The sequence below is a fragment of the Homo sapiens genome, chromosome 16 (assembly GCF_000001405.40).
Source record: "Homo sapiens chromosome 16, GRCh38.p14 Primary Assembly".
NCBI classification, from domain to species: domain Eukaryota; kingdom Metazoa; phylum Chordata; class Mammalia; order Primates; family Hominidae; genus Homo; species Homo sapiens.
The window spans coordinates 68841523-68859407 of NC_000016.10; the positions used below are offsets into that span (position 1 = coordinate 68841523).

The following is a 17885-nucleotide window of genomic DNA, read 5'->3' on the forward strand; positions in this document are numbered from 1 at the left end:
GGCCTCTACCTGTACTTTTGCACCAAACCCCTCAAGCCTTCCCCACACAGTGCTTTACCCCCGTCTCACTAAATGTTTAACATCTCAAAATACTCTTAAAATTTTTTATTTCCCAAATGAACCTGTGCCCATACACAATGGAGAAAACATTGTCTAATGACAAAACCTGGAAAGGAATACACAAAATAAAAAGAGCACAGTGGCAATTTTGTAGGTGATTTATTTCCCATTCAAAAATATTTTTAAGGCCAGAACCGGTGGCTCACGCCTGCAATTTCAGTATTTTGGAAGGTCGAAATGGGCAAATTGCTTGAGCCCAGGAGTTTGAGACCAGCCTGGGTGACATGGTGAAACGCCATCTCTACAAAAATTAGCCGGGTGTGGTGGCATGCATCTGTAGTCCCAGCTACTTGGGAGGCTGAGGCGGGAGGATCACTTGAGCAGGGGAGGCAGAAGTTGGAGTGAGCCAAGATCACACCACTGCACTTCAGCCCGGGTGACAGTGAGATTCTGTCTCACACACACACACAAGATTTTATTCGGAAGGCTGAGGCAGGAGGATCACTTGAGGCCAGGAGTTTGAGACAAGTCTGGGCAACATAGAGACTCCATCTCTAAAAAAAAATTTTTAGCGTTTTTCCCTCTCAGGCCCTGCATTCCAAAATGACAAAGAAAAGAAGAAACAAGAGTCATGCCAAAAAGGGTAATAGCTATGCGCAGCTTATTCTCGCCCAAGGACCGGACCATTAAGAAGTTTGTCCTTTGGGCCGGGCGCAGTGGCTCACGCCTGTAATCCCAGCACTTTGGGAGGCCCAGGTGGGCAGGTCACTTGAGGTGAGGAGCTCAAGACCAGCCTAGCCAAGAGGGCGAAACCTTGTCTCCACAAAAAATACAAAAATTAGCCGGGCATGCTGGGGCACTCCAGTAATCCCAGCTACTCGGGGGGCTGAGGCCAGATAATTGTTTCAGCCTGGGAGGCAGAGGTTGCAGTGAGCCGAGATCACGCCACTGAACTCCAGCCTAGGCGACAGAGCGAGACCCCATCTCAAAAAATAAAATAAAAATAAAGGTCCTGCCCTCAAAAACATTGTCCTGTGTCTGCGGCATGACTTTCAGACAACATGGTTTTTCAACGTCCCACCAGGATTTATGTAGGTGAAAACCTGTTTCCGATAATCTGAATCTCAAATCCATTCTGTTTTACATATAAAAACAGTTTGGCGGAGGGCATGGTTTTGATAGACCCTGAATTTTCGAGGAATGCATCAACCATGAAAACAGAACACAGATCGAACTTTTACTGGGAACTTTACTAAGTTCACTGAAAAAAAAAATCATATTACCCATAACAACATTTGTAGCTTTACATTCACGATGGATATATATGCGTGTGTACGTCTGTACTTAGGTTTTGTTTGTTTGTTTGTTTTGAGATGGAGTCTCGCTCTGTCGCCCAGGCTGGAGTGCAGTGGTGTGATCTCGGCTCACTGCAACCTCGACCTCCCAGCTTCGAGCGATTCTCCTGCCTCAGCCTCCCGGGTAGCTGGGACTACAGGCGCCCGCCACCACGCCTGGCTAATTTTTGTATGTTTAGTAGAGACGGGGTTTCACCATATCGGACAGGTTGGTCTCAAACTCCTGACCTTGTGATCTGCCCGCCTCGGCCTCCCAGAGTGCTGCGATTACAGGTGTGAGCCACCGCGCCCAGCCTGAATATTGTTTTTCTTATCCATACTTCACTGTAAGCAGATGGAAGCATCTGTCTGCTTCATTATGTCTGCCAGTGTTGAGTACCTGAGTATTTTCATATTGAAATATAGCTTTAATGATACATTACTTCTCTCTTCCTTCTTTACATAGCGGTTAATCATATTGAGCTTCTGAAATTGTGCGCGTGGGCAGATTAGCCATTTTTGGGTTCCCTCTTACCCCCCGGACTAAGCCGGGACGGAAAAAAAATGTGAAGGGGGCGTTCCCGATCGATTTGGCCCCGCCCCATAGTGTGCCCAGAGCCTTCTGCCACACTTAACATGGCGGCGGCGGCGCCCTGCCGAGGCGCCTGAGCGGGTCGCGAGCGTGGTGTTACACTCCAGTCATGGCGGCCCGACAGGCCGTGGGCAGCGGGGCTCAGGAGACATGCGGTCTGGATCGGATTTTGGAGGCATTGAAGCTGCTGCTGAGCCCGGGAGGTGAGAGGACGCATCTCCGCGCCGGGCTGGACCCGGGACTCTCAGGGCCGCCCGGCTTCCGGGGCTGCCCTGCCTTCCGCAGCGTGCGCCCCTTAGGCCCGCCTCGGGACCCTCCGCCCGCTGCTGGGGGCTTTGAGCATTGTCTATGCCCGTCCTCATTACGTTCTTGAGGAAACTGAGGCTCAAGGAGGGCGCGGGATCCGTTGACTGCTGATATTAGCCAACATCTCTTGAGCATTTGCCTTGTGCTGGGCTCTGTCAGGCGGGGCCGTTATTTCATTCAGTGCTTACTGCAGCGCTCTTGGGAGGGGGATATGGACCCAGCTCCAGAGAGGGTAGGGCGCCCGCGACGTAGAAATGTGAGGTCCTAGCCGCGTGAGGGCGCAGGGGCCAGCATGGACCCTTGAGATTTGTACGAAATGCCAAGAAGTCCAGACATCGGAAGCAGTGACGTTTGAAATGGGTTTGGGGAGAGTATTTAGGGGTTACCAGGCGCTTTTAATCTTTGTGGTGCGTGGACAGTTTCTTCCCAGTCTAAAATCTGAAGGGATATTGGGAGTGGTTGAAGCTGCTACTCCTTTTGCGACTGAGGACACCCAAGGCTCACTGAAGAAATTAAGTAACCTGTCCAAGATCACGTGGTCAAATTAGGGGCAGAACACGGACCTAGGCCCGAGATCTACTGAACCCCCTTCTCAGAATCAGACAAATTGTTCAGTATAGGGGCTCTGATGTTATCTGGAGCTTTTGGAAAGGACGTGGAAGATAGAGCTCTGCTTATCACTGGGGTGTATATTTGGGGGAAGGGATGGGAAGGGATCTGTAGAATTAGCAAGGGCACATGAAAGGCCAAAGGGGATCACCTCCCAGTCTCAGATTTTATACTTAAAACTGCAAAAACTTCTGCAAACATTACACCACACCAGCGGGAAGTGAACACAAGTTACTAATATTAGTAAATGAGTGCCTACTAAGTATCAGTCCCCATAGTAGGCTGTTGACATACACATCATTTAATCCTCATTACGATCCCCTGGGATCGGTACTACTTGTATTCAATTTTTACGGATGAAGGACCAAGGTTCAGGTACATTGGAAATTGCCCAATGTCAGACTAGTAAGTGGCAGAATTTGAATTTAGGTTATTTCCACTAAAAGTATGGTAAATATGCTACATTGTCTCAATTAAGAGTCAGACTGCAAAATAGAATTTTAAGTTGCTAATCGAGAGGTCACTTGTCTTCTAACGGCAACTCTTTTTTTTTTTTTTTTTTGAGATGAGGTCTCACTCTGTTGCCCAGGCTGGAGTGCAGTGGCACAATCTCGGCTCACTGCAACCTCTGCCTCCCAGGTTCAAGCGATTCTCCTGCTTCAGCCTCCCGAGTAGCTGGGATTACAGGTGCACACCACCATGCCCAGCTAATTTTTGTCTTTTTAGTAGAGACGGAGTTTTGCCATGTTGGCCAGGCTGGTCTCGAACTCCTGACCTCAAGTGATCTGCCTGCCTTGGCCTCCCAAAGTGCTGGGATTACAGGCCTGAGCCACTACACCTGGCCTGCAACTCTCTATTGTATGACTGAGAACACGTTTAAATAAGCAAAAATCCTGAAAGTAATCATCTGTTATGAAACATGTATATTATGCTTCATTTATAGAAGACTCTCTAATCTCTATGAGTATGTGGTGGAGTACACATATATGTACTCATTTAATTTACAGAAATTCAAGCATTCCTATTTGAAGAGGAATTAGTTCGTGAAATTATATTATTTTGTACATGTAGTCTTATATATTATATGAATCTGTCTACTATTTTATCATATTAGCTGCTTAGGGAATTTAAAAATATCTGTAGTGGCTGGGCGAGGTGGGCCATACCTGTAATCCCAGCACTTTGGGAGGCTGAGGCAGGATCCCAGGAGTTTGAGACCAGACTGGGCAACATAGTGATACTCTGTGTCTACAAAAAACTAAAAAATTGGCCAGGCATGGTACTACACACCTGTGGTCCCAGCTACTGGGGAGGCTGAGATGGGAGGATTGCTTGAGCCTGAGAGGTCCAAGTCTAGGCTGTGGTGAACCATGATTACACTAGTGTGCTCCGGCCTTGGGTGACAGAGTAAGACCCTATTTTGTTTTTTGTTTTTTGTTTTTTTTTTGAGACAGAGTTTCACTCCATCACCCAGGCTGGAGTGCAGTGGCATGATCTTGACACACCGGAACCCCCACCTCCCGGGTTCGAGCAATTCTCATGCCTCAGCCTCCCTTGTAGCTGGGACTATAGGCACCCACCACCATGCCTGGCTAATTTTTGTACTTTTATTATTTTTTGAGATGGAATTTCGCTCTTGTTGCCCAGGCTGGAGTGCAGTGGCGCAATCTCAGCTCACTGCAACCTCCACCTCCCAGGTTCAAGTGATTCTTCTACCTCAGCCTCCCGAGTAGCTGGGATTACAGGCATGCGCCACATGCCCGGCTAATTTTTTGTACTTTTAATAGAGACGGCGTTTCACCATGTTGGCCAGGCGAGTCTCGAACTCCTGACCTCAGGTGATCTGCCTGCCTTGACCTCCCAGAGTACTAGGATTAGGATTACAGGCGCGAGCCACCATGCCCAACCTCAAGAAGTCAGCTGGATTTTCATATCTGCTTCTCCAGTCTGTCATGATAGGTTGTTTTGACTGAAGTACATGAAGAAAACCTAGACTCACATAGATATGTAACTGGAAAAGGGAGGAGAGTTCAATCACCTTTTCAAATAATTATGTACATTCTTTTATACGATTCTTTCTTTTTTTTTTTTAGACGGAGTCTTGCTCTGTCGCCCAAGCTGGAGTGCAGTGGTGCGATCTCGGCTCACTGCAACCTCCGCCTCCCAGGTTCAAGCAATTCTCCTGCCCCAGCCTCCCGAGTAATTGGGACAACAGGCACATGCCACTGTGCCTGGCTAATTTTCTTTTTTTTTTTTTTTTTTTAGTAGAGACAGGTTTTCACCATATTGGCCAGGCTGGTCTGGAACTCATGACTTCGTAATCCTCCCGCCTCGGCCTCCCGAAGTGCTGGGATTACAGATGTGAGCCACCACGTCCGGTCTTTTATACAATTCTAAAGCTCAACAAGATAATCTCTGCATGTATTGTGTGGGGAAAAAAGTATCGAGAAACTCAACAAGAGGTAATACCTTTTTTTTTTTTTTGTGGCGGAGTTTCGCTCTTGTTGCCCAGGATGGAATGCAGTGGCGTGATCTCGGCTCATTGCCACCTCCGCCTCCCGGATTCAAGCGATTCTCCTGCCTCAGCCTTCGGAGTAGCTGGGATTACAGACATGCGCCACCACGCCCTGCTAATTTTGTATTTTTAGTAGAGATGGGGTTTCTCTACGTTGGTCAGGCTGGTCTCGAACTCCTGACTTCAAGTGATCTGCCCACCTCAGCCTCCCAAAGTGCTGGGATTACAGGCGTGAGCCACCGCGCCCGGCCAAAGAGGTAATATATTAAAGATTTGTTGCAATATGAAATCAGAACTCATATCAATAAGCCTCATAGTACATTCTTGAGAATCTAAAAGGCACATCATGACCTAGTATTATTATGAAATGGTTTTGACCTTGCAGACCCCCTGAGAGGGTCTTGGGAACCCCCGGCAAGCCAGGTCCCCATAGCATACTAGGAACTGCTACTTTATGGAAATGCCTCCAATTTATTTCCAAGTAGATGTTATTTTCATCACCAGTAGAGGGCAGAGAAGACTACTTCATTAAAGGGGCTCTGGAAAAACTTCAGTAAGAGCTTTTGTTTTAAATCACTTTCTTTGTGTTCCATGTTTGGGTTCGAAGATCTTATGCCACAGGAAGTCATTTAGAGGTTGGTTAGTGATCTTAACGGTTAGTGGCAACAAGAGGGAAATAACACTCATTTCCGTTTGAGGTATACATTAGCCAAAGGAACCAGATATTCATGCCAGTGGGTCAGAACACTTGTCCTGGAAAGTCCTAGAAGAATATTGCAGGCTGAGCGCGGTAGCTCACACCTGTAATCCTAGCACTTTGGGAGGCCATGGCGGGTGGATCTCCCGAGGTCAGGAGTTCGAGACCAGCCTGGCCAACATGGCGAAACCCCGTCTCTACTAAAAATACAAAAATTAGCTGGGCGTGGTGGCATGCGCCGGTAGTCCCAGCTACTCGGGAGGCTGAGGCAGGAGAATCGCTTGAACCCAGGAGGCAGAGGTTGCAGTAAGCTGAGATCGTACCACTGCACTCCAGCCTGGGTGACAGAGTGAGACTCCATCACAAAAAAAAAAAAAAAAAAAACTATTGCAAATTTCTTACACTTCTGTTCTCATTATTTTTGAAGGATGTTATTGTTTCTCTCTCTCTCTCTGTTTCTCTCTCTCTCTTTTAAATAGAGACAGGGTCTCCCTGTGTTGCCCAGCCGGGAGTACAGTGACTATTCACAGAAGTGATCATAGTACACTGCAGCCTCAAACTTCTGGGCTCGGGTGATGCTTCTACCTCAGCCTCCCAGCTAGCTGGGACTACAGGGATGTCACTGTGACAGCTTTCCTTTTATTCTTTTTTAAAAATAGAAGTAATGTTTTTACTTCTATAAAAAATATTATAGCAAAGATTTTTTAAATATAGAGAAACCAAAAAGAAGAAAATTAAAATTACCTTAATTTCACTACCCAGAGGGTACCACTATTAGCAATTCAGAGCGTATTATTTTTCCTTTTTACAAAAATGATCTCATATGCCACATACTGTTTTATAACCCTAAAATAACTTCTAGTGCAGAGACAATACATATTTATTGTAAAAAAACAATTGAAACTATAATTAGGTAAAAAGAAAAATCCTACCTCTAACCCTATCACCCAGAGATCACCACTATTAAAACCTCAAGGTATTAAAACTTTGAGACCCTTTTCTGTGCATATAAACACGAATATATTTTAATATAGTTAGAATCATTCTGTTCCTTTATTGACCAATTTTCAGAATAATAAATTAGTGTCTTAGCAACCTCCAAAGGTAACCAATGAAGTGATCTTTTTTGTTGTATTATGAATCATAGATTTTATGTATTTGATGTTTCAATTATTGTATTCCTTGTTCTTAATCAAATTTCCCATTTTTGGCCTCTGGGAACCATTTCCGACTGGCTCTTGGGGTTTTTGACATGACCATGATAGTCTTTGATCGACTCCTTGCTCTCAAGCAGAAGATATCCCAGGCTCATCTGAGGTATTTCCTGCCCCATTTTTGAAAACAACTCTCTCTAAGGAGAAGTGGTATTTAGCAACCGCAATGCGGACACAGGATATTCATTGCTATTGAAATTATGGGCCGAGTGCAGTGGCTAACGCCTATAATCCCAGCACTTTGGGAGGCCGAGGTGGGTGGATCACTTGAGATCAGGAGTTCGAGACCAGCTTGACCAACATGGCGAAACCCTGTCTCTACTAAAAATACAAAAATTAGCCGAGTGCTATGGTGGGCTCCTGTAATCCTAGCTACTTGGAGGCTGAGGCAGGAGAACTGCTTGAGCCCCTGAGGCGGAGGTGGCAGTGAGCCGAGACTGTGCAACTACACTCCAGCCTGGGCGACAAAGTGAGACCCTGTCCCAAAAAAAAAGAAATTATCATTGGCTGGATGTGGTGGCTCATACCTGTAATCGCAGCATTTTGGGAGGCTGAAGTGGGCAGATTGCTTGAGCCCAGGAGTTCAAGACTACCCTGGGCTACATAGTAAAACACTGTCTCTACAAAAAATACAGAAATTAAAAAAAACAAAATACAGAAATTAGCTGGGCATGATGGCACATGCCTGTGGTCCCCGATGCTTTGGAGGCTAAGATAGGAGGGTCAGCTGAGCCCCGGAGTTTGAGGGTGCAATGGACTATGATTATACCACTGCACTCCAGCCTGGGTGACAGAGTGAGACCCTGTCTCAAAAAAAAAAATGAAAAGGAAAAAGAAATTGTCATTGCTTTCAGACTTTTTGAAGGATTAGAGCCAGGAAATATGTGGATTTTTAGAAAATGAAAATAAATCTTGAGTTCTTACCAGTATTTCCAATTGAAATGAAATAGAATGGATTTTTTTATTTTATAAATTTTTTCTAACATTTCATTATGAAAATTTGAAATTATGAAGCTGACAGAAAAGTTGAAGAACTTTTACAGTGAAAATACCATGACCTTCATTCTATAGTTACAATTTTACTGTAATTGCTTGATTACATATTTGTCTTTCTAGCGGTTCTTTTTTTTTTTTTTTTTTTTGAGACGGAATCTTGCTCTGTTGTCCAGGCTGGAGTGCAGTGGCTCAATCTCCGCTCACCACAGCCTCCGCCTCCCAGGTTCAAGCGATTATCCTGCCTCAGCCTCCCAAGTAGCTGGGACTACAGGCATGTGCCACCAAGCCCGGCTAATTTTTGTATTTTTGGTAGAGATGGGGTTTCACTATGTTGACCAGTCTGGTCTCGAACTCCTGACCTCGTGATCCACCCACGTCAGCCTCCCAAAGTGCTGGGATTACAGGTGTGAGCCACTGCGTCCAGCCTCTAGCTGTTCTTTTATCCTATATTTTATATTTTTATATTTGTATTTCTTTTATCTGAGAATATTGGTTCCTAATGAAATTAATGTATTATATATGTGCATGTATACATACCCATACATATATAAATATATAATCACACATTATATAAAATGTGTAATCACACAATACATACTCATCCAGGTCTATAATCTTTTCAAAGAACAAATCCAACATTACCACTACAAACCCACTGTTTAAGGGGTTTTTGTTTGGTTTTTGTTCTCAGGATATACAAAATTCTTTATTTCAAGTCTCTTAAAATAATTTTCTGTGTGGTTATGCTGCTAACTTAATATAGAGTAGGAGTTAGTAAACTTTTTCTCTGAAGGACCAGATAGTAAATATTTTGAGCTTTGCGGCCCATATGGTCTCTGTTGTAACTACTCAACTCTGTCACTGTATCTCAAAAGCAGCCATAGACTATATGTAAATGGGCATAACTGTGTTCCAGTAAAACCTTATTCATGAAAACAGTTGGTGGGCCAGATTTGGACTGCAGATCATAGTTTGGTGACCTTTGACATAGAGCGCAGAATTTGGTTCATTGGTTCATTTGTTTGTTTTTCATTTTTAGGAATTGTTTTGCATTTTCTTTTTGATTTAATTTTTTTAACTATGAAAAACATCTGTTGTGCTCTAAAACTAATAAAATTAGATACAGTTATCCATGTTTCCTCCTCTGCTCTCTCCCTCTCTCTGTAGATGACTTATTTTAATTAGCTTTAAATTTATTCTTAAATTGCTTCTTTTTTGAAAAGACATGCAAATAATCTGTGATTTCCTATTCATTCCCATTTTTACACAAAAGGTAGCATACTATATATATTTTTTTCTGCGTCTTTTAATTTTAATTTTATTTTTATTTTTGAGATGGAGTCTCGCTCTGTCTCCCAGGCTGGAGTGCAGTGGCGCAATCTCGGCTCACTGCAACCTCCGTCTCCCAGGTTCAAGCGATTCTCCTGCCTCAGCCTCCCGAGTAACTGGGATTACAGGTGCCTGCCACCACACCTGGCTAATTTTTTTATTTTTAGTAGAGACAGGGTTTCACCATGTTGGTCAGGCTGGCCTCGAACTCCTGACCTTGTGATCCGCCCACCTCGGCCTCCCAAAGTGCTGGGATTACAGGCATGAGCCACCACGCCCGGCCTGCATCTTACTTTTTAAATTTAGTGTCTTAGCAATCGGTACATGATGGTACGTATAAATCTTCCGTTTTCTCTTTTATAGCTGCATAGTTTATTCAACCAGTTCTCTACTAGTGGACATTTGGGTTGTTTTCAAGTCTTTTGCTAATTTAAGAAGTACTGCAATGAATAGTCTTGTAAATACGTAATTTTGCATTGTTTGCCTGTGTATCTATAGGATAGATTCCTAAAAGTGGGATTGCTGGGCCAAAGGGAAATGCCTATGTAATTTTGCTAGATATTGCCAAATTTCTGTCCTTGGGGATGTACCATTTTAGTTCCTACCAACAATGTATGAGAGTGTGTGTTTCCTCACAGACTTGCTACAGAATGTGTTATAAAACTTTTGGATTTTAGCCAGTTCGATAGATGGAAAGTGATATTTCAGTATAACTTTAATTTACTTTTCTCTTATTATGAGCAAGATTGATCATATGTTCATGTTTAAGGGCCATTTGCATTTCTTTTCCTATAAACTGTCTGTATCTTTTGCTCATGTAATGTTTTATACTCTTTGTTCACATTCGAATATATTATGAACATGTCATTAAATAATGTTCAGCATTTAATGGCTACAAAATATTCCATTGTTTATTCATTCAACAACAATTTATTAAACAGCTTTTACTTGTCAGGCTTTGTTCCAGGCAAAGAGAATACAGCAGTGAACAAAACAAATCAATACCCCTGTTTTCTAGGTGCTTTGATTCTAGTTGGTAGAAAGACAATAAACAATAAACAAAATAAGTACTTCACATACATATAGTATGTTAGATAGAATTAGACCATAATTTACTCAACAAACACCTGTTATGGGACATGCATTTCTAATTTTACACTATTATAAATCATGCAGTATTGGACATAGTTATTATCAATTACATTTTGATTCCTTCTAATTTGTTTCTTACAAGGTATATTAGCTTTAGTTTTGAGGTCTGTTGCTTGTATTTATATTTTCAAAAAAAAAATTTAGTTTATTTGACCTGGCTGATGTCCATATATATTTTCAAAATTTTATTATGGTTTTCTAAACAAATAGAAAAGCTCGTGGCCAGGTGCAGTAGCTCATGCCTGTAATCCCAACACTTTGGGGAGGCTGAGGCGGGAGGATTGCTTGAGCCCAGGAGGTCAAGACCAGCCTGGGCAACATAGTGAGACCCCCACATCTCTACAAAAGATGAAAAAATTAGTCAGGTGGGGTGGTATGCAACTGTGGTCCCAGCTACTGGAGAGGCTGAGATGGGAGGACTGCTTGAGCCCAAGAATCAAAGGTACAGTGAATTGTGATTGCATCACTGCACCCCAGCCTGGGTGACAGAGCGAGACCCCCGTCTCAAAAAGAAAAAGAAAAAAAGAAAAGTTGAAAGAATTATATGGCGAACACCCTTATACACATCATTTAGATTCCACAATTCACATTTTATTATATTTGCTTGATCACATTTCTATCCATTTATCCATGCATCAACTCATGTTTTCTCTTTTTTTGATGCGTTCAAAGTAAGTTGCAGATATCAGTACATTTTAGCCATAAACACTTCAGCATTGTAACATTAACTAGAGTTTAATATTTATTTGGGTTTTTTGTAGTTCATTTGTTTTAGGTAAAATTTATATACAATGAAATGCACAAATAATACATACATCATTCAGTGAGTTTTAAAAATGCATGTACTTGGCTGAGGCATGAGAATCACTTGAACCCAGGAGACAGGGTTTGCAGTGATCTGAGATCACACCACTGCACTCTAGCCTGGGTGACAGAGCGAGACTCTGTCTAAAAAAAAAAAAAAAGCATATACTTTTGTCATTGAAACCCCTGTCAAGATACACATTGTTACTTCCAGGTGAGAAAAGGAAAAAAAAAAGAAACCTAAAGAAAAAACAGATATGCATCATTACTATTATCCCAGAAAGTTCCCTTCTGCCCTTTCACAATCATTTCCCACTCCTGCTCCCCTAGAGATAACTGGTTCTAGGTTTTTTAACCCGTAGATTAGTTTTGCCTATTCTAGAATTTAATATAAACAAGAAACATCTTTTTGGCTATGTGGGCTGTTTCCAGTTTTGGGGTATTATGAATAGTGCTGCTATGAACATTCTTGTACAAGTCTTTGTTATGAAAATGTATATTGTGTATTAATTTTTCTTGGACAAGTATGTTAGAGTGGAATTGCTGGATTATAGGGTAGGTATATGTTTGGTTTTCTAAGAAACTGCCAGACCAACTGAGCTTTGATCATGTCATACTTCTGCCAACAGTGTATGAGAGTTCCAGTTGCTTCACGTCATTTGGTAGTGTCAATCTTTGTAAATTTTAACCATTCCAGTGTATGTAGTGGTATCTCATTGTGGTTTTAATTTTCATTTCCCTAATAATTAATGATATTGAGCATCTTTTCATATGCAGTTGGTCATTTGAATAACTTCTTTTTTGAAGTATCTGAATAATTGTCCATTTTTTTAAAAAATAGTTTGTTTTATTGAGCTATAAACTGTTTTCATATATTCAGGATCAATGCGTTTGTCATATATATGTACTGCAAACATTTTCTCCCTATCTGTGGCTTGCCTTTTCATTTTTAGAACTGTATATTTTGAAAATAAGTTTTAAATTTTGATGAAGTCCAGTTTTTTTCCTTTTGGCTCATGCTTTTTATGTTTTAAGAATTCTGTCTGGGCACAGTGGCTCACACCTATAATCCCAGCACTTTAAGAGGCAGAGGCGGAAGAATTGCTTAAGCATAGGAGTTCAAGACCAGCCTGGGCAACATAGTGAGACCTCATCTCTATAAATAATTAGTCAAGCATGGTGGCACACAATTGTAATCCTAGCTACTAGGGAGCTGAGACAGGAGGATCACTTGAACCTGGGAGATTAAGGCTGCAGTGAGCTGGAATCAGGCCACTGCACTCCAGCCTGGGTGACAGAGCAAGACCCTGTTGCAAAAAAAGAAAAGAAACAAACCAAAATAAAACAAAAAACAAGAAATTGTTGTCTACTCTAGGATCATAAAAGACTTTCTTCTGTGTTTTCTTCCAGAAGTTTTATAGTTTAGATTTTGTATTTATGATCTGTTTTGGGTTAATTTTGGTGTGTGGTGTGAATTAAAGGTCAAAGTTTTTTTTTTTTTTTTTCCCCATGTGGATATCCAGTTGTTCCAACCTCATTTGGTAAAGGAATTTTCTTTCCCAGTTGTATTGATTTCATATCTTTATTGAAGATCAAATAGCCATATAAGTGTGGGACTGTTTCTGGGTTCCCAATTCTGTTTTACCAATCTACCTAACAGTCCTTATGCCAGTACCACATTGTCTTTAATTTCTGTAGTTCTATAGTAAGTTGGGTAGTATAAGTTCTCTAACATTGTTCTTGACTGTTCTGGGTCTTATAGGTTTCTATATAAATTTTTTAATCAGTTTGTCAATTTCTGCAAAAAGGTCTGTTGAGATTCTTATTGTAATTGCGTTGACTTTATAGATCAATTTGTGGACAATTGCCATCTTTTTTCTTTTTTTTTTTCCAAGACAGAGTCTTGCTCTGTCACCCAGGTTGGAGTCCAATGGCGTGATCTCAGCTTACTGCAACTACCCAGCTACCTGGGAGGCTGAGGCAGGAGAATCGCTTGAACCTGGGAAGTGGAGGTTGCAGTGAGCTGAGATCCGCCATTGCACTCCAGCCTGGGTGACAAGAATGAAGCTCCGTCTCAAAAAAAAATAAAACATAAAAAATTTCTCAGCAAGTTTTCAGTGTAGAGAGTTTGTATATTTTGTGTTAAATTTATCCTAAATTAAAGTTTTAGGCCAGGCGTGGTGGCTCACACCTGTAATGCCAGCACTTTGGGAGGCCAAGGCAGACAGATCACCTGAGCTCAGGAGTTTGAGACCAGCCTGGGCAACATGGTGAAACCCCATCTCTACTAAAATACAAGAGATCACCCGGGTGTGGTGGCATGCGCCTGTAGTCCCAGCTACTGGGGAGGCTGAGGCACGAGAATTGCTTGAACCCAGGAGGCAAAGCTTGCAGTGAGCCAAGATTGCACCACTGCACTTCAGCCTGGGAGACAAAACAAAACTGTCTCAAAAAAAAAAAGTTTTAAATTTCAGCCGGGCGTGGTGGTGCATGCCTGTAATCCCAGCACTTTGGGAGGCTGAGGCAGGTGGATCACCTGGTCAGGAGTTTGAGACCAGCCTGGCCAACATGGTGGAACCCGATCTCTACTAAAAATACAAAAAAATTAGCCAAGCATTATTACGGGTGCCTGTAATCCCAGCTATTCAGGAGGCTGAGGCAGGAGAATCTCTTGAACCTGGGAGGTGGAGGTTGCCGTGAGTTGAGATTGTGCCACCGCACTCTAGCCTTGACAGAGCAAGACTCAGTCTCAAAAAAAAAAAAAAAATTAAATTTCATTTTCTCATTTTTGCTGCAAATATAAAATAAAATGTCTTTTTTTGTTTTTTAATTTTTGTTTTATTGCTTGTATTCTGTGAACTTGCTAAATTAATTTATTAGTTCTAGTAGTTGTTTTATAGAGTCCTTAGGGCTTTTTACATAAACAATGATTCCATCTGTGAATATAAACAATTTTGCTTCTTCCTTTCTGCTCTTGTATGTCTTTTATTGCTGCTTTTGACCTATTTCAATGACAAAGATTTTCAGTAATATGTTGAATAGAAGTGAGAATAGACATCCTGTGTTTATTTTACTTCACCACTAAGTATGATGGTAACTGTAGGTTTGTCCGTGGATACCCTTTATCAGATCGTAGAAGTTCCCTTTTATTCTTAATTTGTGTCATGAACGAGTGTTGAATTTTGTCAAATGCTTTTTCTGCGTTTGTTGAAATGATCACGTGGGTTTTCTCCTTATACTGTTAATAAGATGAATCACACTGATTGAGTGTCAAGTGTTAAGCCAACTATGTATTCCTGGCATAAACCACACTTGGTAATGAAGTATTATTCTTTTCTATATCACTGCATTTGATTTGCTAATATTTAAGCATTTTTAAAAGTTATTAATAGATTCCGTTTTTTAGAACAGCTTTTGGTTTATAGAATATTTGAGCAGAAAGTACAGAGTTCCCATATACTCCCTTCCCTACCCCAAACCTAGTTTCCCCATTAACATCTTGCATTAGTGTACTACATTTGTTACAACTGATAAACCAATGTTGATACATTGTTATTAACTGAAGTAATAGTTTATATTAGGGTTCACTGTTTGTGTTATATAATTTTATGAGTTTTGACAAATGCATAATATCATATATCCATCATTATAGTCTCATACAGTATAGTTTCACCTCCCTAAAAAACCATGCTTCCTTGGCCAGGCGCGGTGGCTCATGCCTGTAATCCCAGCACTTTGGGAGGCTAAGGTGGGCGGATCACGAGGTCAGGAGATCGAGACCGTCCTGGCTAACACGGTGAAACCCCATCTCTACTAAAAATACAAAAAATTAGCCAGGCATGGTGGCGGGCCCCTGTAGTCCCAGCTACTCAGGAGGCTGAGGCCGGAGAATGGCCTGAACCCAGGAGGCGGAGTTTGCAGTGAGCCAAGATCGCACCGCTGCACTCCAGCCTGGGCGACAGAGCGAGACTGTCTCAAATAAAAAACAAAAACAAAAACAAAAACCATGCTCCACATATTCTTTCCTGCCCCATCCCTGATCTCTTGGCTACTCCTGATCTTTTTACTGTCTCTATAGTTTTGCCTCCTCCAGAATGTCATGTAGTTGGAATTATACAGAATACAGCTCTTCAGACTGGCTTCTTTCACTTAGAATTATGCATTTAAGGGTCCTCCATGTCTTTTGTGGCTTGATAGCTTATTTCTTTTTATCACTGATTAATATTCTGTTGTCTGAGTGTAGCACAGTTTATCCATTCTTTTTTTTTTTCTTTCTAAAAAAAAATCCTTTCACCTTTTGAAGATCATCTTGGTTGCTCCCAGTTTTTTGGTAATTATAAATAAAGCTACTGTAAACATACATATGCAGTTTTTTTGTGTGGACATAAGTTTTCAACTCATTTGGATAAATACCCAGGAGCACAATTGCTGGATCGTATGTTTAACTTTGTAAGAAACTGCCAAACTGTCTTCCAAAGTGGCTATACTATTTTGCATTCCCACCAGCAATGAATGAGAGTTCCTGTTGCTCCACATCCTTGTCAGCATTTAATGTTGTCAGTGTCCTGGATTTTGGCCATTCTAATAGGTATATAATGGTATCTGGCTGTTGTTTTAATTTGCATTTCCCTAATGACATATGATATTGGGCATCTTTTCATATGCTTGTTTGCCATGTGTACTATTTTATAAGTTTAGGTTTTTAAGTAAGGATTATTAAGTTTAGATTAATGAGGGATATTGATCAGTAATTTTCTTTTTTGTGATTTTATCAGGGTCAGGTTTTGGGATGAGTATTCTAATGACCTCTCAAAATAAATTGAACAATATTCCTTCTTTATTTTCTGAAAGAGTTTGGGTAACCTTGATGTTATTTCTTCCTTAAATGATTCATCAGTGAAACCATCTAGGCCTGAAATTTTATCTCTCGGAAGATTTTTTTTTTTTTTTTGAAACAGAGTCTCACTCTGTCACCCAGGCTGGAGTGCAGTGGCACGATCTTTGCTCACTGCAACCTCTGCCTCCTGGGTTCAAGCAATTCTCCTGCCTCAGCCTCCTGAGTGGCTGGAATTACAGGCACCTGCCACCATGCCCGATTAATTTTTGTATTTTTGGTAGAGATGGGGTTTCACCATGTTGGCCAGGCTGGTCTCCAACTCCTGACCTCAAGTGTTCCTCCCACCTCAGCCTCCCAAAGTGCTGGGATTATAGGCGTGAGCCACCGCGCCCAGCGGAAGATTTTTAGGTAACAAATTTAACTATCTAATACATATAGGGTTATTTAGGGTTTTTATTTTTGTCTTGTGACAGTTTTGATAAGTTGTACTTTTCAAGGAATATTTTCATTTCACGTATATTGTTTGGTTTTTGGCATAATGTTCATTAATTTCTCAGTTGTGCTTTAAACCTTCTTTCTTTTCTTTCACTGCAGCCTCTATGTCCCAGGCTTAAGCAGTCCCTCTACCTCAGCCCCCTGAGTAGCTGAGACCACAGGTGTGCACCACCACACTTGGCTATTTTTTTTTTAATGTTTTTAGAGACGGGCTCTCCCTACATTGCCCAGGCTGATCTCAAACTCCTGGGCTCAAGCGATCCTCCTGCCTTGGCCTCCCAAAGTACTGAGACTACAGATGTCAGCCACTGTGCCTGGTCCTTTTTACTTTTCTGATATAAGCTTTACAGCTATAAATGTCTCTATAAGCATTGCTTTAGTTATATCCAACAAATATTGATGTTTTTCGTTAGCATTCAGTTGGAAATCTTGTAATTTCTTTTTTGACCGTAGATTATTTTAGAAGTACATTGTTTAATTTCCAAACATTTAAGGCTTTTTGGATGTTTTGTTGTTAATACTTTCTGTCTTAATGCCATTGTAGTCAGAGAACATACTTGATAGGAAATAGATATCTGTTGAAAATACATATTCTGGGGGGAAACGATGTGGTTAAATTAATGTTTGAGCCCTGTGTCCATATTTTGTGATCTTCCTCACTAGAATGTAAGTTCCATGAGGAAGAGCCTTTGTTCTGTTTTTTTGTTGTTATTGTTTTTTGTTTTTGAGACTGGGTCTTGCTCTGTCACCCAGGCTAGAGTGCGGTGGCGCAGTCTCAGCTCACTGCAGCCTCGACTTCCTGGGCTCCAGCGATCCTCCCACCTCAGCCTCCTGAGTAGCTGGGACTACAGGCACTCACCACCATAGCCAGCTGATTCTTTTAGTTGTTTTAGAAATGGGGTCTCACTGTGTCGCCCAGGCTGGTCTTGAACTCCTAGGCTCATG

At 41.6% G+C, this 17885-nt stretch overlaps 1 protein-coding gene across 3 annotated transcripts in view, besides 1 other annotated feature; it reads left to right on the top strand.

Moving 5' to 3' along the window:
* Positions 1980-2249: an enhancer, noted in NCBI's record as "active region_11033". NCBI's record gives its function as "activates an Ori minimal core promoter by ATAC-STARR-seq in GM12878 lymphoblastoid cells {active_cell/tissue: GM12878}" and the evidence as "EXISTENCE:reporter gene assay evidence [ECO:0000049][PMID:35858748]".
* The window catches only part of TANGO6 (transport and golgi organization 6 homolog), a 241652-nt gene continuing 225775 nt past the window's right edge, over positions 2009-17885 (top strand). For all 3 annotated transcript variants that reach the window (NM_024562.2, XM_047434632.1, XM_011523327.4), the window contains exon 1: positions 2009-2189. In NM_024562.2, coding sequence (NP_078838.1) covers positions 2096-2189 — 94 coding nt within the window. In that variant the 5' untranslated portion in view covers positions 2009-2095. The remainder of the gene's footprint in view (positions 2190-17885) is intronic.